Source organism: Homo sapiens, chromosome 4 (assembly GCF_000001405.40).
Source record: "Homo sapiens chromosome 4, GRCh38.p14 Primary Assembly".
Lineage (NCBI taxonomy): Eukaryota > Metazoa > Chordata > Mammalia > Primates > Hominidae > Homo > Homo sapiens.
In genome coordinates, this window is record NC_000004.12 from 123,391,825 (window position 1) to 123,418,945 (window position 27,121).

The 27,121-nt window shown below is 41.1% G+C and overlaps 1 protein-coding gene across 6 annotated transcripts, besides 2 other annotated features; it reads left to right on the forward strand.

The window, feature by feature from the left end:
- The first annotated feature begins 4,970 nt into the window (after positions 1–4,970).
- SPRY1 (sprouty RTK signaling antagonist 1) lies at positions 4,971–11,936 on the forward strand. 6 transcript variants are annotated; one of them, NM_001375410.1, is made up of 3 exons: positions 4,971–5,108; positions 5,787–6,689; positions 9,713–11,931. In NM_001375410.1, exon 3 carries the CDS (start codon positions 9,768–9,770, stop codon positions 10,725–10,727), a length of 960 nt encoding a protein of 319 aa, NP_001362339.1. In that variant the 5' UTR covers positions 4,971–5,108; positions 5,787–6,689; positions 9,713–9,767; the 3' UTR covers positions 10,728–11,931. The 6 variants fall into 6 exon arrangements, with proteins under 6 accessions (NP_001362339.1, NP_001244967.1, NP_955359.1 ...); NM_001258038.2 differs by having other exon boundaries at positions 5,787–6,032; NM_199327.3 differs by lacking the exon at positions 5,787–6,689.
- Positions 6,406–6,955: a silencer, noted in NCBI's record as "silent region_15667". NCBI's record gives its function as "represses an Ori minimal core promoter by ATAC-STARR-seq in GM12878 lymphoblastoid cells {active_cell/tissue: GM12878}" and the evidence as "EXISTENCE:reporter gene assay evidence [ECO:0000049][PMID:35858748]".
- Positions 26,483–27,040: an enhancer, noted in NCBI's record as "OCT4-NANOG hESC enhancer chr4:124339462-124340019 (GRCh37/hg19 assembly coordinates)". NCBI's record gives its function as "activates a minimal SCP1, AML or CMV promoter by ChIP-STARR-seq in naive H9 embryonic stem cells {active_cell/tissue: H9 hESC(naive)}" and the evidence as "EXISTENCE:reporter gene assay evidence [ECO:0000049][PMID:30033119]".

Here is a 27,121-nt window from a genome sequence, read left to right on the forward strand (position 1 = left end):
TTATTGATGAGAAAGCAGGTTCAGAGAAATTAAGTGAAGGTTACCTAGCTAGAAAGTGGCAAAGTTGGGACTTCATATCATCTGATCCTATATCTGGTACTCTTTTCATAATACCATGCTATTTTCCTAGTTATAATACTGGACATAGGGGCATTATGATTAAATATGACACATAAGCTAAAGTTATAGACCATGATATACAAGGATAATATCGTCAGAACTCAGGTCTTCAATACATGTATCCTATCAATTATTATAGACCACTTGAAATGTTTATATAAATGGAGTTATTAGAAATGTGACAAGAAAATTACAAATCAAGGGAAACTCTAAGTATAAACTTTTTTAAATTTTTTATTTTTTTGAGGCAGAGTCTCGCTCTGCGCCCAGGCTGGAGTGCAGTGGGGCGATCTCGGCTCACCGCAAGCTCCGGCTCCTGGGTTCACGCCATTCTCCTGCCTCAGCCTCCCGAGTAGCTGGGACTACAAGCGCCCGCCACCACGCCCGGCTAATTTTTTTGTATTTTTTTAGTAGAGACCGGGGTTTCACCGTGTTAGCCAGGATGGTCTCGATTTCCTGACCTCGTGATCCGCCCGCCTCAGCCTCCCAAAGTGCTGGGATTACAGACGTGAGCCACCGCACCTGGCAAACATATTTTTAAAAAAACTCTTTTGGGAAGTTTTTTATGTTTTCTTTTCTTTTTCTTTTTTTTTTCTTTTTCTTTTTTTTTTTTTTTTTTTTTTTTTTTTGAGATGGAGTCTTGCTCTGTCGCCTAGACTGGAGTGCAGTGGTGCGATCTCTCCTCACTGCAACCTCTGCCTCACGGGTTCAAACAATTCTCCTGCCTCAGGCTCCAGAGTAGCTGGGATTACAGGCACTTACCACCATGCCCGGCTCATTTTTGTATTTTTAGTAGAGGCAGGGTTTCGCCACGTTGGCCAGGCTGGTCTCGAGCTCCTGACCTCAGGTGATCCACCCGCCTCGGCCTCCCAACTGCTGGGATTACAGGCGTGAGCTACCGTGTCCAGCCTTCTTTTTTCAATATTAGTCATTCTCTGTTCTTAAAGGGTATGGCTATAGTTGTTTCATCAAATCAATATTCTACTTTTTTTTCCGTTCAAATAAAGGATAAACTGTAGCCTTTGACGTAGGTTATTTCAATAGGAAATATTATAGTGAGGAAGCCCTAAGAGATGCTTTTTTTGTTTTGTTTTTGTTTTAATGAGAACACACTTTTATTTTCTTACTGTGCTATCTTTGGGGGACAGTTACAAGTTTAACTTAACGTAGATTCTTACGTGCTTGTCTCTGAAGATTAAGATAGCAGTAGGTAGTTGTGGGAATGAGAGATTGATAAATTTTGTTGACCAGAATCAAAGATGATACCAGGTGATCATTATAAGGGCCATTCCACTTCTTGTTTCAAAATACAAATCAGCGGAAGAGATGGCTAATCTTGTTTTCTCATGAAAATAAAGAACAAGTCAAGGCTTGGGGGGAACATCTGACATCACTGGAAGAGGAAAGAAGACAGGATTTATTTTGCAATTAGCTAGGTAAGAATGAGGACTGTTTTGTACGTAGGGCAAAAATGTTTCCTTAGACAATCTTACCATGTGGGTTTAATTAGTAAAATCTTTAATATATAGTAGGGATGCAGTTTATCTGAACTCTTGTCACTTTTATTCTCTCCAAAGGAATATGGCACTTAAGAAATAAAGCGCACCAATTTAGGACACGTCCAGGTATATTTCTTTCTTTTCTGACAACTTGCAGAAAAATAGAATCGCCTGTGACAAAGTACACAAATGATTAGTTGAATTATAGAGCTGACACAAACTACAAATCATTCAGTGTAATTTACTCAACGTATTGCTTGATTTGCCCACTTCCAGAATTTGAAACCAATACGGAACATTCGTATTTCAAATAAGGCAGAAGGATGAGAATTACGCTTATGAAAATGAAGAGAATGTTTATGGAAAATTTACAGAATAGGTTGGTCTATTTCTGTCAACTACAAAGATTGTTTACAAAAGGAAACTGAAAATAAAATGGCCTATCCTTGCCAGCTTTTCTTGGGAAGTATAGTAATATAGTGACTATTGCCCTAAAAGGAAAGTAAAGAGAACTTAGTTTCCATTACCGGTCTTCATTGATTTATGACATGCTTATAAGCTAACTCATCAATGTCTGTGATTATTTAGTTTGTGTGTTTGTTTCTCAACAAGATAAAAAGACTGTGATACATTTATTTATCATGACTTCACAGAAACATTAGGAGAATTAATAACGTATTATTTTTCAAAAGCTTGGAACACATGATTGTTATTTTTATTTTGGCAAATAAAGTAGATACATGAATAAGTTAAGCTTCCTATAACTGTATTAATTTTTTTTTTCTTTTTGAGGCGGAGTCCAGCTATGTCGCCCAGGCTGGAGTGCAGTGGCGCGATCTCGGCTCACTGCAACCTCTGCCTCCCGGGTTCAAGCGATTCTCCTGCCTTAGCCTTCTGAGTAGCTGGGATTAGAGGCACAGACCACCATGTCCAGCTAATTTTTTGTATTTTTAGTAGAGACCAGGTTTCGCCATGTTGGCCAGGCTGGTCTCCTGACCTCTGGTGATCAGCCCACCTCAGCTTCCCAAAGTGCTGGGATTACAGGCGTGAGCCACCATGCCTGGCCATTTTTTTTTTTAATCACTAGAAGTTGTGAGGAGTTACTGAATTTTTTTCATTTCACTTTATTCTTTTTCAAAACTCAAATTAACACAAGCGATGGCTAATCTTGTTTTCACATGAAAATTAAGGACAAGTCAGGGCTCACTTTCCATTCCACTTTATTTAGACATATCTTAATAAACTAAAAATTATTATAAGATTTTTCCCATTGATATTTGCATTGTTTTTCATTTTTGGAAAAATTTCATACTTCCGTTATCCATTTTTAGTCAAGTTACAATGTAATTAAACTTACCAAGTGAAAAACAATGTATACTTTAAGCTAAAAATTTAGAATTTCTACAAAGTCTTATAGTTGCGGGGAATCAGGAGAGGCAAGTTTCATTCAATGTCTTTTAGAACCAAGGTGACAGAGCTATACGTACATTTATTTGTAATGTAATATTTAGAGAAAAACATATTAATGCATTTTAGTGCTAAATGACATGGAGGGTTATTGATCAACTCTGTACAGCATATTTAATTTCTTAATACAACATGACCCATGGTGATGGTGTTTTAGATAAAAATCTCATGGATTTGATTATTATAATTTAAAAATACTTGATCTAATGAAAATTATTTTAATACATTTCTGGTTGAAATAGAGTGTATTTGCAATAGAAATCTTTCAAATATATTTTGTAGGATTTATGAAGGTAGAATGTTCAGTGCTCCCTCTCCAGGTTTTATCATATTGGTGAACTGACCTCTCAGCTCACAACTGTGGTAATAGTTTTGAAGAACCAAATAAGATACTCTGATAGGATAGTCTATTTTTGATTTGTCTATTCCAAATACATTCACAAGAAACCTATCCATCACTAGTAAAATTTCATTACATCCCCAAATCTAATGAGATCTATGAAAAAAATACAATGAAATCAATTTTATTCTTTTAAATAGCCTATTTTAATACAATTCATAATATTAAGAGTGAATATGTAGCTTTTTGGCTTGATTCTTATTCTATGCTATTTTCTAATGATGCTTTTTTATTGTTATTCATGTTCTTAACAATGCTCTGTGTTCTTCAGAGGCAATTCCAAACACAACTTTAATTTTTGAAAGTGCTCAGACATTTGAAAGTCCTGTGTGTGTGCGTGTGTGTTATGTATGTATATATTTATAGTTTCAACAGAACCACTTGCTATTGTAAATGAGACTAAAAATGTACTTTGAACTAAAAATTTCCATACTTATATGTTTATATGATTTAGATTCTAGAGTTTTGTTATTGTTTGCTTTGTTTTGCCAGACTTTAAGCTACTCCTGATATATAGTACCTGGAAAAATATTTCCTTTCCACTAAGTTTTTGGTCTTTAGGTGGCTTTTAAAAGTTTCTACGGAACCTTCAATTCCACAAAAAGTTATCCTCACTGCAGCATGAAAAGGCACAACTTTGATAATAAATGCCTAAAATCCCATAGTTTGTAAGAAAGTAGAAATCAAGTTTCCTACTTAAAGTGTTTTTTTTCCAGTCATATCAGCTATTACTAAGAATTATAAAACTTCTTGATAAATTTTTTCTATTCTAATTAATTGACTTTTAGCTAATTAAAAAATATACGGGTTTGTATTTTTTGCAAAATTATACAACTATATTACAAAATTGAAAGAATTTGGTTTTTTCTCCATGTGCTTGATTTTTGGGAAATCATATAACAAGCCAAGGTAAAGCAATTATTTAAAAAACCCACAGCAGAAAATTTCACCTTTATTACATATGCTTATATTACATTTGCAGTAAGGAGTGCCACCTTTTGAACTTTAGGTTTCACATATTCTGAACTTTGTTGTAAATAGGAACTGTAATGTTATATAATCATCTTTTTGTGTCAATATACGTTTTCCCTCTAGTTGGTCAGAAGTGATGGCTTGGCATACAACTTTTTTCATTTTCTTTTATTCTTCACAATTCTTTTCTAATTCAACTTAAGAGTAGAGTCCACCAATCCTTTTAATTGAGATCGACAACTGAAGATTGCTAACTAAATCCGAATGTATTCCTCTATGACAAACTGCATTTGCAGAATTTTTAGAGGCACTCCCGAAGTTTTAAGAGGATGTTTATTACACGAGTCTGTAGGGCAACATTTCCAAGTTGGTACACATAAACGAAAGAGGAAACGATAGTTAAGGAAATCCTGTTCCAGGTTTTCGGGCAGCCCGAGTGATTGACACATGATATCACCGGAGGCGTGTCCTGGAGTGGAGGTGGAGGTGGAGGCAAGGAGCTGAAATTCTGCGTAGCCGGAGTGAGACCGCTCTGCAAACCACTGCGTGCTTTGCAGAGTGATTATCAGCACAGTTCCCTGCCCTGGATAAGGAACAGCTACAGTCGCTGTTAAATGTGCCTGAAAAGCAATTTGCAATCTTTGCATTAGGTAAGTACCGTTTCCTTCCGTAGACATTTTAGGAAAGATAAGGTGAGAAATGTTGACTTTTGCAAGGAACTGAACATTTATTTATTTGAACTTGCTTTCCAGCTAAGGTTACTGGTTGCATTTCAAAACACCGGTAGCATTCCCACTGCTAAAACTAATGCTCTTAAAGTAAATGCTACCGCTAAAAGAAAAAGCAGGGTCCCTTTCACCTTTCCTTAACCGAACAGTAGACGTTTAAAGTCTGAAACGATCGAATTTGTGAAACACAGAGCCGTTAATGCCTTTATGCGAAGAGGGGCTAGCACTCGGTGTGTGGACCAAATGCGTGTTTGTTTAGGCATTGTTGGCGACCGAATCCCGAGTGAAGCATTGGTTTAAAACCTGAATTTCCCGTCTCTGTGTATTGATTCCTAACGCGCAGAGGCGTTGCTTGAACGTTGTTTGAACTCCTAGGCATTCCAGGGGGCAAAAGCACCTCGGCAAAAACGTGCAGGACTGCATGTTACTTTGGTTCGCGGCTGACACGCCGACTGTGCGCCGGCCTGTCAATCACCGGGAGCAGCAACAGGGAGCACATGGCAACGGGCTGCGGGCGAGCTGGCCAGCGGCCCGCCCGGGGTCCCAGCCCTTCGAAGAAAGGGACATTCACGAGCTTCTATCTCTAATTCTCTGTCGCAGGCATTTCGGCCGTGGAACCCCAGGCTCGGAGGACTGGGTGTGAGCGCTGCCCGGGAGAGGCTGACCTGCCGGGACCGGAGTGCCCGGGGACGCTGTGCCCCCACTTGCCCAACGTGCGGAATCGGCTAAGCGCGTCGGCCTGCGCGGGGCACAAGGGACGACGCCCGCCTTTCTCTCTCCGAGAAGGATCCCCAAACCTCACTCTCTTCACTCCTCCCCGCTAAAAAAAAAAAAAAAAAGAAAAGGGTAAAAAAATCCCCCTCCCCCTCCCGGCCGCGGCAGCCTCTGCCTGGCAGGCGCGTGCTCCGAGGTTTCGCCGGGGTACTGCGCGGCTCCGTGACCCACCCGCCGACGGCGGTTCGGGCCCCGACCCGGGCGCTGCGGAGTCTCGAACGCCCGTGACGTGGATTTTTCGCTCGTCAGGAAGCCGCCATCCCTTCCTTCGTTCCTTGCGAGGAGCGACTAGAACCCGAGTTCTCTGAGCACACCGTGCCGTCAGCTGGCCCGTCACGCACTCGACTCCGCCACTCCCCTACTTGTTTTTCTGAGACTTGGGAAGCCTTCCTGAAAGGATTTGTAAAAACTGGTTCTTGGAAAGGGGCTGCAGAAGACCTCCCGAGGTGGATGTTACTGAGCCGCCCGGCGAGCACCAGCCGTGACAGGTCCGGGCCCGGCCGCGCGGAGCCGCGGGAGAACTGCCCTCCGCAGCCGGAAGGGGGCCGCGGGGAGCGCTCCTGGCCGGTGGCGGCGGGGGCGGGGGAGGCCGCGAGCCGAGGCGCTCCAACTCCGGCGATGCCGCCTCGCCCTCCCCGCCGCGGTTGATGCGGCACGTGCACGCCGCCGCCCGCACCAGGACCTGGGCCGGGTCGCACGGCTTGGCCCCCGGCCACCGCTTCGGCCTAGGTGAGTGTGTGCGGCGGCCGCCCTCGGCCCGCTGGGCTGTAGGCGCGCGGGCGGGGCTCGCTCGGCGCGGCAGGTGCGGACTCGGCGGCGCTGCTGCCCGAGCCAGGACTCCGGGAGAGGAGGGGAGGGGAGGGACGACCTCGCTCGGCGCGGCCCCTCCCGCCGCTCCCTGCCCCCTGGGGGCCGCGGCTTCTGGGGGCTCAAGGTTGGGTGGCGGGGTGGGCGACGGTCTGCGGCTGCGGAACGTAACAGGACAGGGTCTCCTCCATCCCCGATTACCCGGAGCGGCGGCGCGGTGGCCCAGGTTGTCCTCTCGGAGAGCCCTTCACGCCCAAGGGGGATTTCAGGCGGCTCTGGGGATGTCCCCGGAGGCCCTCTTTGGAGGAGTGTGCCTCAAGCAGGGGGACGACAAAGGCTGTGTGTGTGCGTGTGTGTGTGTAGGCACATCCCCGGAATTCGCCGATTACCCCCTCGATAGAATTAGGCAGCCCCAAAGCCAGCCGCAACTTTCTTCTGGTTTGGAGCACAGTGCAAAGACAGGGGAAGGGAGAGGGCACTGCCACTTTAAAAGTGGGGAAGTCGGCTGGGCGCGGTGGCTCACGCCTGTAATCCCAGCACTTGGGGGGGCCGAGGCGCGCTGATCACCTGAGGTCAGGAGTTCGAGACCAGCCCGACCAACTGATGAAACCCCGTCTTTACTAAAAATGCAAAAATTAGCCGGCCGTGGTGACGCGCGACTGTAGTCACAGCTACTCGAGAGACTGAGGCGGGAGACCCGCTTGAACCCGGGAGGCGGAGGTTGCAGTGAGCCAAGGTCGCGCCACTGCACTCCAGCCTGGGAGACAAAGTGAGACTCCGGCTCAAAAAAAAAAAGTGGGGAAGTCCGCCCTCCTGAGCTCATGGTAACCTCAGCCTCCTCCCCTCCTCCTACCACAGAGAGAGGGAGAAAGAACTTGTTTTCATTCATAACTTTTTCCTTTTCCTTCTTCCGTCAACTATTTATTCAGTGCGGATTGCAGAGGGCGCAGCTCCACCGTGGTAACTTGCAATGTGGCCGCCCCTGCGCTGGCTTCTTTCTCCTCGGCCCTCGGTGAACCCAGCTTTTCCTTTAAAGCATAGACAAATCCTTGCTTAGGGTCAGCCAGACCGTGGGCTTGCTTTGGGCTCCCGCGTGGACGCTGAAGGCTCTTCATGATTTCTCAGAAACCTTGGTGGGCCACCCAAAAAGTGTGTTGGAAATCCACGGTGATCCTTAATATGGTGATGGGATTGTCCGAAAAGGTATTCTACTTCCATTCGCGTTTTCTTGGGGAAGGCAGTGTGCCGAGCGCGTGTGAGCGTGTTTGGGGCTTGTCCAAGACTGTCACTGCTTGAAAATGGGCTTTTCTTCGGATCGGAGGTGGCGAATTTTCTTTGCTTTTAATTTTTTTGTCTGGCAACTTTATTTCCCAGCCAGTATGAAGTTTGTTACAACTATCATTGGAAATGCAAATTGAAGTTGTGCCTGGTGTTATGGGTTACACTATTCAAATCCTCTGCGGTTTTGTGAATCTGGCTTAGTACTTTTAGCTACCTTTTGCTTTGAAAGCACTGAGTTAAGAAGTTCTTGAAGAAGAGGAATAATTGTGCAGGAGTCAGGATTAGATGTTGAGGACTCCGAGACTAAATCCCCGCAGGTTATGAATGTGTTACTCCTCATGCGCAAAGAAGGTAGAATAAAGTAGAAACTCGAGAGAGCTGAGTTGTGAAAACGAGGGGGAGCTCCAAGAAGTTAACATGTAAGACATAGTTTAGAGACATTAGTTTAGGAAATATAGGAAATGGACTTCTTTCTGCGTTGTTCCTTAAACCATGTTTTTTGCCTCAGGTTGGTAGTGGAGAATGGACATTTCTTTTTCTTTTCATTCTTGAATTGGGTCGACTCTGTAGACTTTAGAAGGAATTTGTGTGAAAAATACTCTAGTTCACCACTGAAAGCAGAAACTTTCATCTTTGGCAGTTTGTGAAGAACACATAAATTAGAAATAACTTACTATTAGTATGGAAACACAACTGCTTATTTTTATCTGGATATTAGTGTGCTGATTTTGTTACAAGAAGAACGTTGAATCAGAATTGGCAGTGCGTTTGAAAATCAAGGTCTGTCATGTAAATACAGATTTTTAAATCAGAGGAAATACAGATAATTAAAACTGCCAGGATTTCCCTACACTGCGTTAAAGGCCTCACACTTATTTGTGCATAAAACTTACTTTGTTTTGTGAGTGAGCCCTTCAGCTTAAAAAAAATCCTCTCAGGATTTCAAATATGAGTACTGTTATATATCATTCACTGGACTATACATTGAGTCTTGTGTGTGTGTGTGTTTGTAGCTCCAAAACACCAAGAATCGTTGTGTACCTGATACATTTATTTTTGCATCTCATAGATGAATAATAAGGTAGTTTTAAAATTCTGATTTATATAGAAAATTACCTATTATTTTGCGATTTCATTTTAAGAGTCTCAATTTTTTAATGCCTTAATTTTTTTCATCATTAATCTAATGCATATAACAGCACACAACAAAAAGGCTGTAGCACCAAAGCCATTCTCAATTTCTTAAAAGGTAGACATTTTCCTTTATGGAAGCCACCTATGAACTGATAACTGAGCTTTCTTTAGATGAGAGTTATTCTCCTGCTTATACTCAGTATTCCCTGCGAAGGCATGCTCCATTTTAATTATTAGATTCACAAACAGGAAGGCATTACTTTCTCCTGATTCTGCTTCTTAAAAGTTGGAAAAACTTATAATGTTCATGGCATGGGGTCTCTTGTTTATAGTCTTCCTCTATGATGTGGTCCCCAGCCTCTCCTAGAATTGGACTCTGGCCAGGACCCCAGCATCATTGTAATCCACTGATGAAGGAGGTCATTACTAGGCGGTTTAGGCAATTTGTGATTTGACAGGATTCCCCCCCCCCAAAAAAAATGCTTCCTGTCATTTATTTTCTGTTTTTTTCATCTTTGATTTCGTTTTAGGATTTCAGATGCATGCCAGGTTTCCACTGATTGCCAGAACTCGAGATCACTACACATGGATCCCCAAAATCAACATGGCAGTGGCAGTTCGTTAGTTGTGATCCAGCAGCCTTCTTTGGATAGCCGTCAGAGATTAGACTATGAGAGAGAGATTCAGCCTACTGCTATTTTGTCCTTAGACCAGATCAAGGCCATAAGAGGCAGCAATGAATACACAGAAGGGCCTTCGGTGGTGAAAAGACCTGCTCCTCGGACAGCACCAAGACAAGAAAAGCATGAAAGGACTCATGAAATCATACCAATTAATGTGAATAATAACTACGAGCACAGACACACAAGCCACCTGGGACATGCAGTACTCCCAAGTAATGCCAGGGGCCCCATTTTGAGCAGATCAACCAGCACTGGAAGTGCAGCCAGCTCTGGGAGCAACAGCAGTGCCTCTTCTGAACAGGGACTGTTAGGAAGGTCACCACCAACCAGACCAGTCCCTGGTCATAGGTCTGAAAGGGCAATCCGGACCCAGCCCAAGCAACTGATTGTGGATGACTTGAAGGGTTCCTTGAAAGAGGACCTGACACAGCACAAGTTCATTTGTGAACAGTGTGGGAAGTGCAAGTGTGGAGAATGCACTGCTCCCAGGACCCTACCATCCTGTTTGGCCTGTAACCGGCAGTGCCTTTGCTCTGCTGAGAGCATGGTGGAATATGGAACCTGCATGTGCTTAGTCAAGGGCATCTTCTACCACTGCTCCAATGACGACGAAGGGGATTCCTATTCAGATAATCCTTGCTCCTGTTCACAATCACACTGCTGCTCTAGATACCTGTGTATGGGAGCCATGTCTTTATTTTTACCTTGCTTACTCTGTTATCCTCCTGCTAAAGGATGCCTGAAGCTGTGCAGGAGGTGTTATGACTGGATCCATCGCCCAGGGTGCAGATGTAAGAACTCCAACACTGTCTATTGTAAGCTGGAGAGCTGCCCCTCCCGGGGTCAGGGTAAACCATCATGATTTTTGGAGGTGGGTTGTACCTCCTGAACTTTTAGCTTTCAAGTTGTGGCTGTTTTTTGTTTTTGTTTTTGTTTTTGTTTTCTTTAGAATTTTTCCCTGTTTCCCACCTTCTCTTCCCCTGTTGCCAAGGTCTAACTCATGGATTTTTCTCTTTCCTCATGGATGATCTTCAGCAAGAGTGGACTGGGAAGCTGCACCTGGCTCCCACTTTCAACAAGAGCCTCTGCCATCCACTTGAGGGTATTGAGAGCCAGTGGGCTTTTGTGTAGCCTTTTTGTTCTGCAAGCAACTTTCTAAAGTTGTGTACATGAACATACACCCACATCCAGACTACAGTGATTTAGAGTTGTTTTGATTGGGTACCGTGGGAGCAGGGAAATTGGTTTTTTAAAAAGCAACTGTTTAATTGCTTAAATAAGCTATGTATTAAATCTGTCTCCAGTTAGGGCTATCTTCCTAGCATAGGCCCCTTAAGTAGCATGGGGGATATATTTTTTGCTATAACGTAAAAATTTTCCTTTAACCACTGCCCTCTCCTTCTTTCTCCTTCAAGGTTCTTTCCCCCTCAGTTTTGTTGTTGTCTTACTCTGGAGATGCCAAGTGTATTTTTTCTTTCTATGTAATTTTAGATTCGCCTTACAATGTAAATCTTCACATTGGAGATAATATTGGTTGGACCTTGCCCATCTTCACTCTAGCCTTCGTATTTGTGAAGGACTCAGCCACCTTCCTTCTTCACCCCATGCTTCTCACCAAATTTTTGTTGTCATTGAGGGCACTTGGATAACTCAAGTTGATATTTATAGCTGATCAATCTATATGTGTCACAGAACTATGCTGCCTAAAGTGATCTTGGCTCCTTAATGGTCCTTTTGGCCCCTTGGATAGTTAACAGCTGAGTAATTCTAATCTCTTCTGTGTTTTCCTTGCCTTAACCACAAATTGTGGTGCTTTTTGTATATTTTATGTATAAATCACAAAGTTGAATTCTGACTATTTTTAAGACAAAAGTCTGTTAAACTTTTTTATTGTAAAGAATATTTATTATGCGAATCTCTATTATTTTATGGTATTTATTGCAAAAGACTGTTGAAATGTACTCATGTTTGAATATAACAAAATATCAATACTTAACGGAAAATAAGGTGACACGAAGAAAGTACATATGTTAACTATAATGCAGAAAATATATTAATTAATGAAACTGTCTCTCGATTTCTTCATTTATTAGCCTGTACTATTATGATGATTTTTGCTTATTTGCTTTGACTTTTTCTTCTTACACACCCATTTTACTTCTTTCCCTATAGATGTTGAATCTAGACATAGGTGAGCCCAAATTATGAACTGGATAATTAGGTTGGTGCAAAAGTAATTGCAGTTTTGGGTCATTTTTAATGGCAAAAACACAGTTACTTTTGCACCAACCTAGTATTTCCTGGAAAGTGCATTAATCAAAATTTTGTAATCCAAATTATCTTTTAACAAATGCTCAAGTGAGTTATTTTGTACAGTAAAAATTTTTTGTAATACTCTCTCCCTACTTTGACTATTTTGTAAGCATGAGGTTTTGTGTATATTATAGTTTCTTGAAATGGGGCATATCTACAGTAGAAGCTTTTTTAAATGTTTATCCTAACTTTTAAGTTAATAAAAAGTTAGATTTATCAGCTAGACTTAATGAACTTAGTTCTGTAGATATGCTAGGAGTCGCTGGTACTGTCACTTTAATAAAGCATTCTAGAAGTTACCAAGGGAATAATTCACAGTATCAGAGACATTTCAAAAACATTCCTGTCCCTGTCTTTTCACTTGTTTCGTAAGTCTAATGTGGCCTGACCAAATTACACCTCATCAAGTCCTGTGCAATAAGAAACCTGAAGGCCTAAAATTTTACGTAGAAAAAGTGTTTTAAATCTTATTTTTTAGGCTGGTGAAACCACTACATAGCTGGAATCTTTGGGTCTGATAAAATATTTGGTCATTTGAGTCCTCAGAATACACCGTTTTTAAGTTTGATAAAATTTTATTCATGTGAGTCCTCAGTCTCACTAACTCCCTAAGTGATACATCAGTCATTATCTGCATTTGAAAATAATTCTTTGCATTTGAGAATAAGATACTGACATAATTTGAACCCAGGTTATCAAAGCTCTTATCCAGCTTTTTGTTTTGGTCATTATTCATGGATGGCTCGGCTGTTAGTTTAAGACTACGTATTTGTTCTTTGTAAATAGGCTTTGACTTTGTTTTATATAGACAAGGTATAATTGGTAGAAACTTGTTTTAGTCCTTTTCCATCAAGCCGCTAAACCTATTAGTTGGCAATGTGATATTTAATCCATCAAATATTTCCTTTATGCTTTGAAAGCAGGAGGATTTTTAAAAGTAAATAGTTGTTTTGGAGGCTACTTCATGATCTGTAGCACTTAAAAATGTGAACTTGAGTGTTTTCCTCTGATATTCAAGTTATGTGATGTTATCACTGGTCCTTTCATATTTATAGAGTATTTTCATTGAGATGTGGCTTCTTAATGAAGTATATGAACACAGACTTCTTCAAAATACTCTTTGGGGCTTTTTTCCGGTATTATTCAGACCCTTAGTATAATTAGTTGGAGTCAGAGCTGTCTTTAGCTGTAATAACCAGACTAAGAAGCAGTAGCTTTTACTGAAAGAAATTTATAACTTTTATGAGAATGAAGTATGCTGTGGAGTTTTAACTTCTGGCTATATATATGCAGAATACATGAAAAATATTAAGATGCTGGTCTGCTGCTTCGAGGACTGTATATGAACTCTGGCATAATGGCAAGTCTGTACTTGGAAGGAACGATCGGTTAGAGGTTCAGATTTCTAAGAGGCTTGTCAGGTGGCAAAGCATAAACACTGATTCGAAATGTCCTCCTTTGTGATGGTTTAAACCTAGGAAGAAGAAATATAAGAGTGTGTCCTCATAAGAGCTTATGGGCCCTAGGCTCTTGAACCTAATGCTGATCATCATTTTAAAGTGCTTAGACTTTGAAAGCATCAGCTGAAATTTTTTACAATGCCGCTGCCACTTATTTAATACTGTTGAATGAAAAACAACATGCCAAACAGATGGGATAACCTTTTTATTCCACACATTTGTCCCTCTTCCCCTACTAGTACAGCTTGACAGAATGGATGTTTTTGTTACCTGGTTCCTTTCCAGTATATTTTCTGACTGCCAATTTTTTCATTTCAAACAAGCCTTATTTAGATAGTTTAATAGTGAATAAACCAACATAGGACTTTTGTAATTGAGTAGTTTCCTGTTTACAGAGTTTATAAAATGTAACCTAGCAGAAAAAATGGAATGTGAAAAAGTAGACTTTTTTGTGTGTGAAGACCTAAAGTGAATCTGCAAATATAGGATTATAATTACATGGTTTCCAAAATTCAAACCACAAAATATTTCCATTATTACTAAAAAATAAAAATTAAAGCTTTAAAAATAATGGTCTTTAAAGTGAAAAATAAGTTTAAAACTATGTTTTTATCCTAAAATCGATAATGAAACCAGACTCAGGTGATTAATTTCCAGAGGATTTAATTTTTGAAATTATCCATTTTTCCTAAATCTTTTTTTAATGGAGTGGTGTATTTCGTAGCAGACTATCTATCGATATCTATAGATAGATATCTCATTAAAAAACAATCCCTTTTGAAATATATTGAAATATTGAAACAAACTGGAAAAGTGTCTAAAAGCAGTTCTCATCCTAAACTCTCACTATACATTTTCTTTTTAATTGGCAAGAGTGTTGGTGTTTTTAAATATGTTGAAAACAAAATTTTTAAGTCCTTTTGGCTAATTGATGGTTGGATGGTTGTTTTTTCCATTACTTCACTGATTAGCTATAATCAAAATAGCCATGTATATACTTACCTGATAGCTATTGATTCTTATAGTAGTCTCTCAGATTATTACTAAGCCATTTTGCTATTATTGAACACCTCATAGGGGCATTATTCTGTATACAGTAGAATTCTAGAACTAGAAATATATCTTAGAGTTTATCTTAATGTTTCTCAATCATGTATGAAAAGAAATAGATATCTAGTTTAAAAATTAAAAATTCAGAAGTGTGTGTCATAGCTCAGACCTGTATTAGAATAATCTCCGGGGGTGGGGGCCTGGTATTCGTTATTTTCAAAAAGCTTTTTGGGTGATTGTATCAGGCAACTTTGGAACTGATTTATGTAGCTCACTGTCTTCATTTTGAAGATGTACAAACAAAGTCATGGCTTGAGAAGAAAAACTGTCCATGTTTTAGCAAGGGTAAAGCCTGAACTCTTTCATCTGACACAGGATTTTCTTCATTTCTTGTTTGTTTGCTTTTTGGGATGAGGTCTCGATCTGTCACCCAGGTTAGAGTGCAGCAGTGGCTTGATCACCACTCACTGCAGCCTCAACCTCCTAGGCTCAAGCAGTCCTCCTCTGCCTCAGCCTGTGAAGCAGCGGGGACCACAAGCAAACGCCACCATGGCCAGCTATTGGTTTTTTTTTTTTTTTTAGTGGAGACAGGTGTCTCCTTATGTTGCCCAGACTGGGCTTAAGCTGTCCTGCTTCAGCCTCCCAAAGTGCTAGGATTACAGGCGCAAGCCATTGCACCTGTCCTCATTTCTCAGCAGCCAACTCAATCAGTGTCTTTCTGCTGCAATTAGCCCTTACTATTCCATCCTCTTTACCAGAAAATTTTTCCTTCATAATATATTTGACCATAATTTAGGAAATGAAATGTTTTTCTGCATATATTATTCATGCTTAGCTATCAGGAATAAGTAGTAAATGACTTCATTGCCGTGATTATTTTTCATATGTTAATATTAAAATTAACAGTTTGAAAGTGGAGCTTGTGTTTCCTCTGGCTGGGTTTATATGGTAATAATAGAACAAATGGATTTAATCAGTTTGTGAAAGGAACAGTAACTTGGCATCTAGATTTAAGAACTCATGTGATGGTATTTCTTATCATTTTTCTGGCTGCAGTAAGATTACAGTGATTAGAAGCTGCTTTAAATTGTATATTTTGCATTATTAAAGAGATGGATGTCGTCTTGCAGACAGAATCACAATAGATATGGCAATAATTCTATTGCAGAAACTATCAGAGAAGCTAGAACTGTTTGAACTGGATATTTAGGTACAGTATACTAGAAGCATCATTCACCAATGATGCTTTGTTTAGTCCAATAATATTTTAGTCCAAGAATCTACTTAGTCGATATAAAATAATCAAAATTATAATTTGATAAAATCAGAATAGTAATTTTTATGATAAAATAATCATAGAATCATTATTTCCTTCCTAGTAGAAGGAAACTTAAAGGTCATCTAATCCAGTCTTTTTATTTTAGAGATGAGAAGTCCAGGTTAAGAGAGGTTACTTGCCTAAAGTCATGATCTATTTGTGAAAATGAAGTAAATTGTATTAACTACTTGCTGGGCTGGGCGCGGTGGCTCATGCCTGTAATCCCAGCACTTTGGGAGGCCGAGGCAGGTGGATCAGGAGGTCAGGAGTTCGAGACCAGTCTGACCAACATGGTGAAACCCCGTCTCTACTAAAAATACAAAAATTAGCTGGGCGTGGTGGTGTGCGCCTTTAATCCCAGCTACTCAAGAGGCTGAGGAAGGAGAATCTCTTGAAGTCTGGAGGCAGAGGTTGCAGTGAGCCGAGATCATGCCACTGCACTCCAGCCGGGGCAACAGAACGAGAGTCCATCTCAAAAAAATAAATAAATAAAATAAAAATAAAAACTACTTGCTGCATTTGTACACGTGGTAAATGGCTGGAAGGAAGGAAAGAGACGTTGATTAAGGGGAGTGGAGGTTGAACAAAATTTCAGATTATTTGTGTTATAAAATTGAACACATTTGTTAAAGCACAATGGATTAATGATAGTCCATTGCAGAGAAATAAGTGCCATGAGGAGGGAGCCAGACAAAGCAAACAAGATGCAAGTCTGAGAAAACTCAGTTCCAGTTTGGCTAGCAGTGGTTCTCAGCCTTAGCCGCACATTAAAAGCAGCTGAGAGCAAAAGACACCACCCTCAGCAATGAACAAAAGTCTGTGCCTAGACCCCGCCTTAAGCTAGTTAAATCAGAATCTCTGAGAGTGGGCCTTGGCTTTCCTTTGTTTTAAAAGCACCCCAGATGATTCTACAGCTAGTCGAAACCCTCTGAGTTAGATCATAGGTATGTATAGGGGAATTGTGGGAGATTAAAATAGCAGAGATTAAGATAGGAAGGCCAATTTAGAAAAAGAAAGCCATAGGTATTATGGTCCTGACACAGCTTGTAGGTTAGTAGGAAGGGAAAGGGGGCGGGGTGTGAATGAGAGAACTATGGTCCATGGGGAATCTATGGGACTTTGCGGTTATTTGTATGTGGATTTCAGTTGGAGGAAAGAATTGATACTGAGCTTTTGGATTTAGGCAAATGGGAAAATGACAGTTCCATTAAATGAGTGGGATTTGTTTGGGGTATGTGGGGTAGGAAATGTTATTAGTTCTATTGGGATAAACAGATAATTATGAAAAAAAGTCTAGAGTTTAAGAGAGGTTAGTGACGGCCCATCATTCACATACAAGTGATAGGAGGTCCACAGTGTAGATCCCAAAGGAAAACAATGGAATTAAAAGCAGGCTAGAGACAAACCTTGAGGAACATACCTACATTTAGGGAGCAGAGAGAGGATATAGAGCCAATCAGTAAGAGAGATGGTCGAAGAAGCATAGGCACCAAGAGATTGGTATGTTTTAGAATCTAAAGGAGAAGACTTCTAAGGTGGAAATTAGTAATCGAATGTCAAAAGCTGCAGAAACTCCCAACTAAATTTAGTGAGTGGTATTTAGGTGAAGTTGTAATGAAAACCAGATTGCATGGGATTAGGAAATGAGTGGGAAGTAAGGATATGCAGGGTAACAGTTTCAGGCTGTTCACTCTAGACATTTTGAGATGATGGGAAAGTAACTAGAGGCAGGTAAACAGCTGAGAGTATTTTTAGAATAACAGAAACTTGAGCCTTTTTGCAGAAAGACAGCATGGGCAGTTGAAAGGGAGAAGAGGGAAGAGCGGGAGGGTCACAATCCTGGAAGAGGGAGGAGGAGATGGAAGAGAAAACACAAAGGGGAACTTTAACCTTGGCAAGACAGTTCTTCTCCCAGAGTAAAGGAAAAAATAAGAGGGAAGAAACAGATGTAATAGAATTTTAAGAGAGAGGAGGAAATTGTCAAAACACAGCCTGTTTTTGGTAAATAGAAGGATGGTCTTCTACTGATAGTTAAGACACATGACAGACCCAAATTGGTTCTTGAGGGCAGAGGTCTAGAATGGCTAGAGATGGGGACTGCTCATGGCTCAGTCAACAGACCAAAGCAGGTGAAGTGAAGAATAGTGAGAGCTCAAGCTCACATGAGACAGGGAATGTTTTAGGAGCCAATTTTCAGATTTTATCTAGATATTGTCTGCAGCTGGTTGTGGGGAGCAATTAAGGCAGAGAATAACTATTACCTGGGGCCAGTAAGAAATGGTGAATTTCACAGAGCTCAGGGATTTTAGGGCAGTAGCCTGAGTGTTTGCTAAAATGGCTAGCCAGAAAAAACTGTATCTCAACGAGGGTGAGATACAGGTTTACTGAGAGCAAGGCAATAGGAAAACTGAGGACAGCTGAGGACATAGGAGCAGTTCCAAGTCAAGACCCTAGAAGGTGGGCCTTTTTGTTTTGGGACAGGGTCTCGCTGTTTTGCCAGGGCTGGAGTGCTGTGGTGCAGTCATAGCTCACTGCAACCTCAAACTCCTGGGCTCAAATGACCCTCTCACCTCAACCTCCTGAGTAGCTGGGACAACAGGCATGCAGCACGACACCCAGCTAATTAAAAAAAACAAAAAAACAAAACTTTTTTTTTTTTTTTTTTTAGAGACAGGGCGTCATGATGTTGCCCAGGCTGGTCCCAATCCTCCTGCCTCAGCTTCCCAAAGTGCTGGGATTACAGGCATAAACCGCTACACCTGGCCAGGCAGGCCATTTTTAAATGCTGAGGAAACCTGGAGTTTCTCTGTGCTAACAGGTAGCTCAGGTGATAAGAGTTAGAGATATATGGAACTAAGGATGAAGATAAGGAGAAAATGGAGGCCAATGTGTTAGAAGAGTTGTTAATTTAGGTATTAAAATATTGGAAGTTGGCTGGGCGGTGGTCTGTAATCCCAACACTTTGGGAACATCTCTTGAGCTCAGGAGTTTGAGACCAGCCTGGGCAAATTGGAAGGCCCCTAAAAGAAATTCATCATTTCTTTCTTTTTTTTTTTTTTTGAAATGGAGCCTTGCTCCGTTGCCCATGCTGGAGTGCAGTGGTGCGATCTCAGCCCACTGCAGCCTCCAGGGTTCAAGAGATTCTCCTGCCTTAGCCTCCTGAGTAGCTGGGATTACAGGTGCCCACCACCATGCCTGGGTAACTTTTGTATTTCTGGTAGAGACAGAGTTTCACCATGTTGGCCAGGCTGGTCTTGAACTCCTGACCTCAGATGATCCACCTGCTTCAGCCTCCCAAAGTGTTGGGATTACAGGCGTGAGCCACCGCGCCTGGCCAGAAATTCATTATTTCTTATTGGCCGCAGGTAACACTTATTCTCTGCCTTAATTGCCCCCCACAATGAGCTGCAGGGAATGTCAAGATACATGTGAAAATAAATGTCTACATAAAATGTGAAAAACAGCCAGGTGCAGTGGCTCACGCCTGTAATCCCAGCACTTTGGGAGGCTGAGGTGGGTGGATCACGAGGTCAGGAGTTCAAGACCAGCCTGGCCAACATGGTGAAACCCCCGTCTCTACTAAAAATACAAAAATTAGCTGAGCATGATGGTGGGTGCCTGTAATCCCAGCTACTTGGGAGGCTGAGGCAGAGAATTGCTTGAACCTGGGAGGCAGAGGTTGCAGTGAGCCGAGATCGTGCTACTGCACTCCACCGTGGGCGACAGAGTGAGACTCTGTCTTCCAAAAAAAAAAAAAAAAATAGTGAAAAACGTTCATTGGCCAAAACATCTACAAAAAATTAGCCAGGCCTGGGGGCTTGTGCCTATAGTCCCTGCTACTCAGGAGGCTGAGGTGGGAGGATCCCTTTGAGCCCAGGAGGTTGAGGCTGTGGTGAGCCATGTTCCCACAACTGCACTCCAGCCCAAGTGACAGAGCAAGACCCTGTCTCAGAAAGAAAAAAAAAATGCTAGAATGATAGGTGGAGAAAAAAATATCTAGAAGCTGTTTATGTTTGGGAGGAATATTTTTAGGTGCTCTAACTTATTTCTAAACTAATGGATTACAAGAGCTGATAAAAATGTAGGATTTCTTAATAAGGATAATTTTAATAAGAAATGAACTAGTGGAGTAGAATTTATTGTAACGGATGTGCTCCATTTATAGCACAAACGATCTGTTAACAAAATCTGTTACTGAATAAAGAAAATATCTACATGAAATAGATTGACCTGTCAATTCAGTCAAAATAATACACACAGCCAAAAGACCTTCTGCTTTCCACATTCCCTTCTTTCAGCTTTTGTGCACTTCAGAGGCACTTGAGGAAGCAAAGAGATTCAGTCCAAGATCTTAGTCTTGCCTGCTTCACAGAGTTTGCACGTTGCAGATTTGCAGTGGAAGCTGTGAGTAAATTTGATTCCCTCACAGAAGTACATTTTATTCTTCTGGGCCACCCAGAATCTGTCTATTACTCTAAATGTAGAGAGGCCTATCTTTATAAAGAAAACTGTTGGTGTCAGAGTTATTTACAGAGCATGTGAAACTTTAACTTGTCACTTTGTGGTTTGTAAACCTGTTCTTTGAATTGCCTATAATTTCCCCTTTGTGTCTGCCTTTTTAGGTTTTACCCTTTAGTACCAGAAACAATTCAATTAGGGAAGACAAAAAAGGATGAAACCAACATTTATCGGTTTTAACATTTTGCTATCTAGTACCTGGAATCGTGATTATACAACAGAGGAAGAGCTCAGTAAATATTTGTTGTTGATCAACTTTGTAGATTTATTAAAAGCTTCAGAATAAGGAAAAATGCTGAGATTAATGTTTGCAGGGTCTTTTGATACCATTTCTAATGTCTACAATATTGGCAATTTTTGAGAGAAAATAAGAACTTGGCTTTGTCAACTATGCATTCATCAATTTAACAACTGTATCTTTGAATAGTAATTCGTAACTTTTTAGCAATGTGAATGATGCTATCACTGGCGGTAAATGGGGCCATGGAAACACTCTGGGAGGAGGCAGCCAAATCTGTCTTTGTAAATCAGAGAAGCCTTCATAAAAAAAGCCTTGAAAGATGAGTAGTAATGAGTCAAGTAGACAAGGGAGAGAAAAGCATTTTGGAAAAGTCCAAAGGCATGTTAAGTGGGAATGATCATGGCATGATGAGAACATTGCAAGTAATTTAGTATGTTTGGAGTGTAAGATGCCTGTGGGGAAAAGAGGAGCCAGTCATGGAAAGTGGAAATGTCATGTTTAAAAGTTTAGGCTCTATCCTGTGGGTGATAGTCATTGACAGATGATAATAAGGAGAATGGCATGAACAGATTAGAGTTTCAGAAGGATACTTAGGCAACACTGCATGCTGCTGATGGACTGGGGGGCAAGAGGGAGACCAGCTGGATAAATAATATAGGAGCCAAGGTGATTAATGTGACAGGGACAGTAGAGGCTGAAAGGAGGTTGTGAGCTTGATCTGATTGGTTGTAGAAGGTGGGGGAGGAGAAGTCTTGGCCATTTGGTACCGGGTTAACTCATCTCTGGTAATGGAAGGCAGAGACATTTGTGTAAATGAAATATAGAAGGAGATCAAAATTTTCCCCACTCAACATTCTACTAATTGTGCAGATTTAAGAGTCTCTCCCCGCCCCCAACCCCCCAACCCCCATCTCTCCTGGAATGGTTAATGAGTAATGAAGTGGACAGAAGGCAGGAAGCAAGAAGACAGGAAAGAAGCAAAGGCTTTGTAAATCAAACAGAAACTAAATTTTTCATTCTTTCACCTCAGCCTCCCAGAGTTCACTGTATACAGCTTCACTGTATACACTTTTCAGTGACTTATGTATCTGAACTTTGTTGTCAGAAACACCCAAGTTCCAGAACTTTAAAATTCACCAAGCTTGGTGGGGCACAGTGGCTCACACCTGTAATCCCAGCACTTTGGGAGGCCGAGGTGGGCAGATCATTTGAGGTCAGGAGTTCAGGACCAGCCTGGCCAACATGGTGAAACCCTGTCTCTACCAAAAATACAAAAATTAGCTGGGCATGGATCCCAGCTACTCAGGAGGTTGAGGTGGGAGGATCGCTTGAACCCAGGAGGTGGAGGTTGCAGTAAGCTGAGATGGCACCACTGCACTCCAGTCTGTGAGACAGAGTGAGACTCTATCTCAAAAAAATAAAATTCACCAATTCAGCCTTTTTCTCTTTAACTGCTAAAACATTTCTTCCACTACTCCCCTACTCCACCCTCCTAATCCAGTCATTACATTTTGAATCATTGAAGTATCCTGAAAAACAATGTTTGCAGGCCGGGCGCGGCAGCTCACGCCTGTAATCCCAGCACTTTGGGAGGCCGAGGTGGGCGGATCACGAGGTCAGGAAATCGAGACCATCCTGGCTAACACAGTGAAACCCCCTCCCAACTAAAAATTAAAAAATTAGCCAGGCGTGGTGGCGGGCGCCTGTAGTCCCAGCTGAGGCAGGCGAATGGCATGAACCCAGGAGGCGGAGCTTGGAGTGAGCCGAGATCTCGCCACTGCACTCCAGCCTGGGCGACAGAGCGAGATTCTGCCTCAAAAAAAAAAAAAAGAAAAGAAAAAAAATGTTTGCAACATAAAGAGTCTTGGTTTTCCTTATTCCCTGTATTTTTCTCTGCCTGCTGGTGGTGGTGATGATGATAGAGAAAGGAAGGAAGGTGATTGGGCAATATGTAATCCCTGTAATCCCAGCGCTTTGGGAGGCCGAGGCGGGCGGATCACCTGAGGTCAGGAGTTCGAGACCAGCCTGGCTAACACGGTGAAACCCCGTCTCTACTAAAAATATAAAAAATTAGCTGGGTGTAGTGGCGGGCGCCTGTAGTCCCAGCTACTCGGGAGGCTGAAGCAGGAGAATGACGTTAAGCCGGGAGGCGGAGCTTGCAGTGAGCCGAGATCATGCCACTGCACTCCAGCCTGGGCCACAGAGCGAGACTCCGTCTCAAAACAACAACAACAACAACAAAGCCAGGCGTGGTGGCTCACACCTGTAATCCCAGCTACTTGGGAGGCTGAGGCAGGAGAATCGCTTGAACCTGTGAGGTGGAGGTTGCAGTGAGTCGAGATCACGCCATTGCACTCCAGCTTGCGCAGCAAGAACAAAACTCCGTCTCAAAATAATAATAATAAAATAAAGTAAATTGAACCCGAGAAAGGTGAAATGACATGCTCAAGGATAAGCATCTAGTAGGAAATAGAACCAACTGAATGAGAAAAAGACATGAACAATACTTTTAAAGGCCTGTACTGTTTTCATTATGTGGACCTTGTTTGTACTTGAAGTTTGGGAGTTTAATTTACAATTCCTGAAGAGAATATAGCATAAAGATAGGCAGATCCAATAAAACCTGAATTCTTACAGAAGCAACACAGAAGAAGGGCAAAATAGTTTGGGTTTGGAATTGGTCATTTTTTTTCTTTATTTTGAGACAGAGTTTTGCTCTTGTTGCCCAGGCTGGAGTGCAATGGCGCGATCTCGGCTCACCGCAACCTCCACCTCCCGGGTTGAAGCGATTCTCCTTCCTCAGCCTTCCCAAGTAGCTGGGATTATAGGAATGCGCCACCAAGCCTGGCTAATTTTGTATTTTTAGTAGAGATGGGGTTTCTCCGTGTGGGTCAGGCTGGTCTCAAACTCCTGACCTCACGTGATCCGCCCACTTCGGCCTCCCAAAGTGCTGGGATTACAGGTGTGAGCACCGCGCCCGGCTATTTTTTTTTTTCTTTTAATTTGAAATACTTGTAAATAATAGTATTGGAATTTAAATTTTTTTCTATTTTATAGGTGGTATATACGAGGCACATGTAGAGACTTGGGAAAAAAAATTTTTTAAGGTGATCTTTATAAAATAGCAAAACTTGAATTTGAGGAACCTGGCATTGCTTGATTTCCAAAGTTTGGTAAAAAAAAAAAGTCAAGTGTGAGAGTCCAAAATTACTTCACACTCTATGTAAATAATGGGATATGGTACCCTGTGGTCCCTTAATTTCTTAAATAAAAATTTTAATGAGGGAGAAAGGATCTCTTAATCCTTAGGGAAAATATGCTTTGTGTGGATTGTAAAATCTGGCAAATTTTGGAAAGAAGAAAAGCAGGCAGTACTCTTGGAAAAAAATAGTCTGCTTGAACTTGCCTTTTTTGAAAAAAAACAAAACCCAACATTCTTTCATAAAGCATTTTTTTAAAAGTATTTGCCCTTGAGCATTTTTTTCTACTTACCCATACTTATCTTTCAAAACAAACATTTATTTCTTTCTACTATAGAGTGTGAGGAAGTTCCTTTGAGGTTATGCCCTACAAACATATCCAAGCAGTAACTGTCACCTCCTTCCTATGGCACAACAAATGACTAAGTCAACCGCAGGCAGCGGGGAGCATAGAGCGGCGATTTCGTGATGGGGGCTGTTCAGATGTTACCTATGGGATCCGTTCTCAAGGGGAAAAAACACACAACTATACTTTTGTGTGCAAATAAAATTTTGGGTCCTTTTGACCCAATGGAAAATGTGTGTCTACTGGTGGCTGCCTACTTGGAATATGATGATTTACACTTGGAAACATTTGTGTCATTTATCATATGATGTTACTGGTCTACAGCATGACTGCATAACAAATAACCATATTAAAAATTAATCTTTTCCAGTTCATCAGACTGTATGTCTTTTTGACACCCCAAGTCTTGTCTTTGCCTCTTGCCCTGCCGTCTTTTCCTGCAGTCACTCTTTACATTAAGTCTAGGATTAAGTTAAAACTCATGCACTGCGTATTTGTGGCTGCGCTTTCAGACTCCTACCCTGCCCTTTCACCCTTCTTTCCTACTTTTCTGAAACATAAATCTTCTATCCAGTGGAATTGGTTCGCTCTCTGTCCCTGCAACACACCTTCAACTCCAGACCTGAGACACTGTCTTTGCCTTTTCAATCCTATTCTTTGCAACAAGGTTTAAATCCTACTTTTCTGACTGGATCATGGCAAAATAATCTCTCTCAGAAATTCTTTAGTAACAACATTCTGTAAACTGATCATTACTTTTAATGTTGAGTTTTTAGTGTTTATGTCTTGTCTCCCTTCCATATTATAATTCTTTCAGACTGGGTTTATGTTGTAGATTTACCTGTACTCCTAAGGTGCTTTGCCCATAGTAGGCACTCAATAAATATTCATTGATATTTTTCCCTGCATTTTACAATCGAGTCATAAAAGCCCATATTTGGCTTCTGTTTTTCTGGCCAGAGGGCCATTCACTGCATTAATAAAATATATATTCTGACATGATGTGTCTCCTGCCTAAAGTCATTTTTGTCTAGCAAATACTAGTAAATAGAATTCTAAAAAAGATATGTAATTATCTGCTGCAGAGAATTTCAGTAATATCATTGATCATGTTAAGGTTTCCAGGGGAGACTAATTTTAAGAATTGTGGCAGTAAAACCTCTGGCACTAGAGGAGACAGATGTTCAAGGCTGTGGAATTGGCTCACCTCTCACGGGATATAATAATGCATCCTTTCTATAACATCCCAAATAGATAGGCCTGACATGGAAATGCCTGGAATCAACTCCTCCTTCATTTTACTAATGTATTTTTAGTTATTGATAATGCAAACCACTTGGTCTTCTCTGTTAAGCGTCCAAAGTATCCTTAAGAGTAATTAAAAAAGTAAAAAAAAAAAAAATGCCAGGGCCCTTCCCAGCTTCTTAGATGCTAATGCTCTTTCTCCTGGATACTAAACTATTGTTTACTCTTCTTGCTGAACTTGGCATAGGCATGAAACCCCTCAAAACATTCTTTTTTTTCATATGTACTATGGCTGTAAATACTTTTGAATGGTCTTGGGGATAGATCTATAATATTATGGAATCTATCACTCAAAGCACTATTATTAGTAAATACAGTAATATCTCAGATTGTATATTGCACACATTTTCTGTAAGTACCTAGGTTATAACATATTGGGCTTTTGACATACTTACGAGTGAAAGAGGGGCCAAGTTATTAGCCTAGTTTTGCAGATAAAATCTAACACAGGGAGGATTATGATTTTCACATTTATTGATAAAGTTAGGACTAGAACCTAAACTCCCTGATTCTGTTAGTTCATTCTGCTCTCACTATGTAAGATCAAGCAGATGGGCCAAACCAGCTGAAGCATCAGGGTTTGGCTCATGACTTTTGCTGTGATGGAATATCCAGTTGAAAAAAACAATCCTTATTTTCATACTTGAATGTTATAGGAAGCTCATTTTAAATTGCTCTGTTCCATATGAAAGATAATCTGGCCAATTTCTTAACTGTATTCAACTCCTATGCTTTAGAAACAACGTTGTTGTGTTTACAGGGAATGTTTAAAGCCCAAATACACAAAAGTAAATTTAAATCCCCTTACATTTTTATTATTTCAGTACTCTAGTTTATTATAACTCAGCTATCTATAGTGAACAGTTGACCTCTTATTATCTCCTCCAACCCCATCCCTGCTGACATCATTAAACAGGAAGGATTCTAATTATGTAGTCTCATTTTGGAGAAAATTGGGAAGACTACGTAGAAATCTAAACGATGTGTGTTACTCTCAGAGCTAGGAAACTAGAGCCAGGTCTCATGGCACTCTAATTAAAAACTTTTATTTCTGCAGATTTATTCTGTGGTCCTTACTGAACAGATCTGCCTTGGGTTTCTGCTGGTGAGTTTTTCAGCAGGAATGCAGGCTTTGTTTCTTTGAATAGTTGAGTGCAGATTAGTGGTATGCCAATTTCCTGTGGCCTTTCAGAGCTGCAATTTGAGCCCTGTTTGCTCCTGGCCCTTGCACAATTGAAAACAATGGGTGACTTCTTTTAGGTTTCACTTCAGGGCTCTTAGAAACAGGGGAAGTGGCTAAAGCCCTACTTTACAGGTAATTAACAATAGATAATGTTTGCTCTGCATTTTTTAGAGCCGATAAAAGGTAGAAGAACATATTCAGCTCCTGATTTAGACACTGTGCAGTGGTTTTATGGATACAATAGCTGTCTTAGCATTAGCAAGGTGGCATGGAGTATCATATATATCTGACAGCACAAAAGTTTTAAAAAGCAGAAGAAAAA

Excerpts from the sequence above, each read along its gene's own strand:
- SPRY1 (NM_001375410.1), top strand. The coding sequence starts at position 9,768 with ATGGATCCCCAAAATCAACATGGCAGTGGCAGTTCGTTAGTTGTGATC.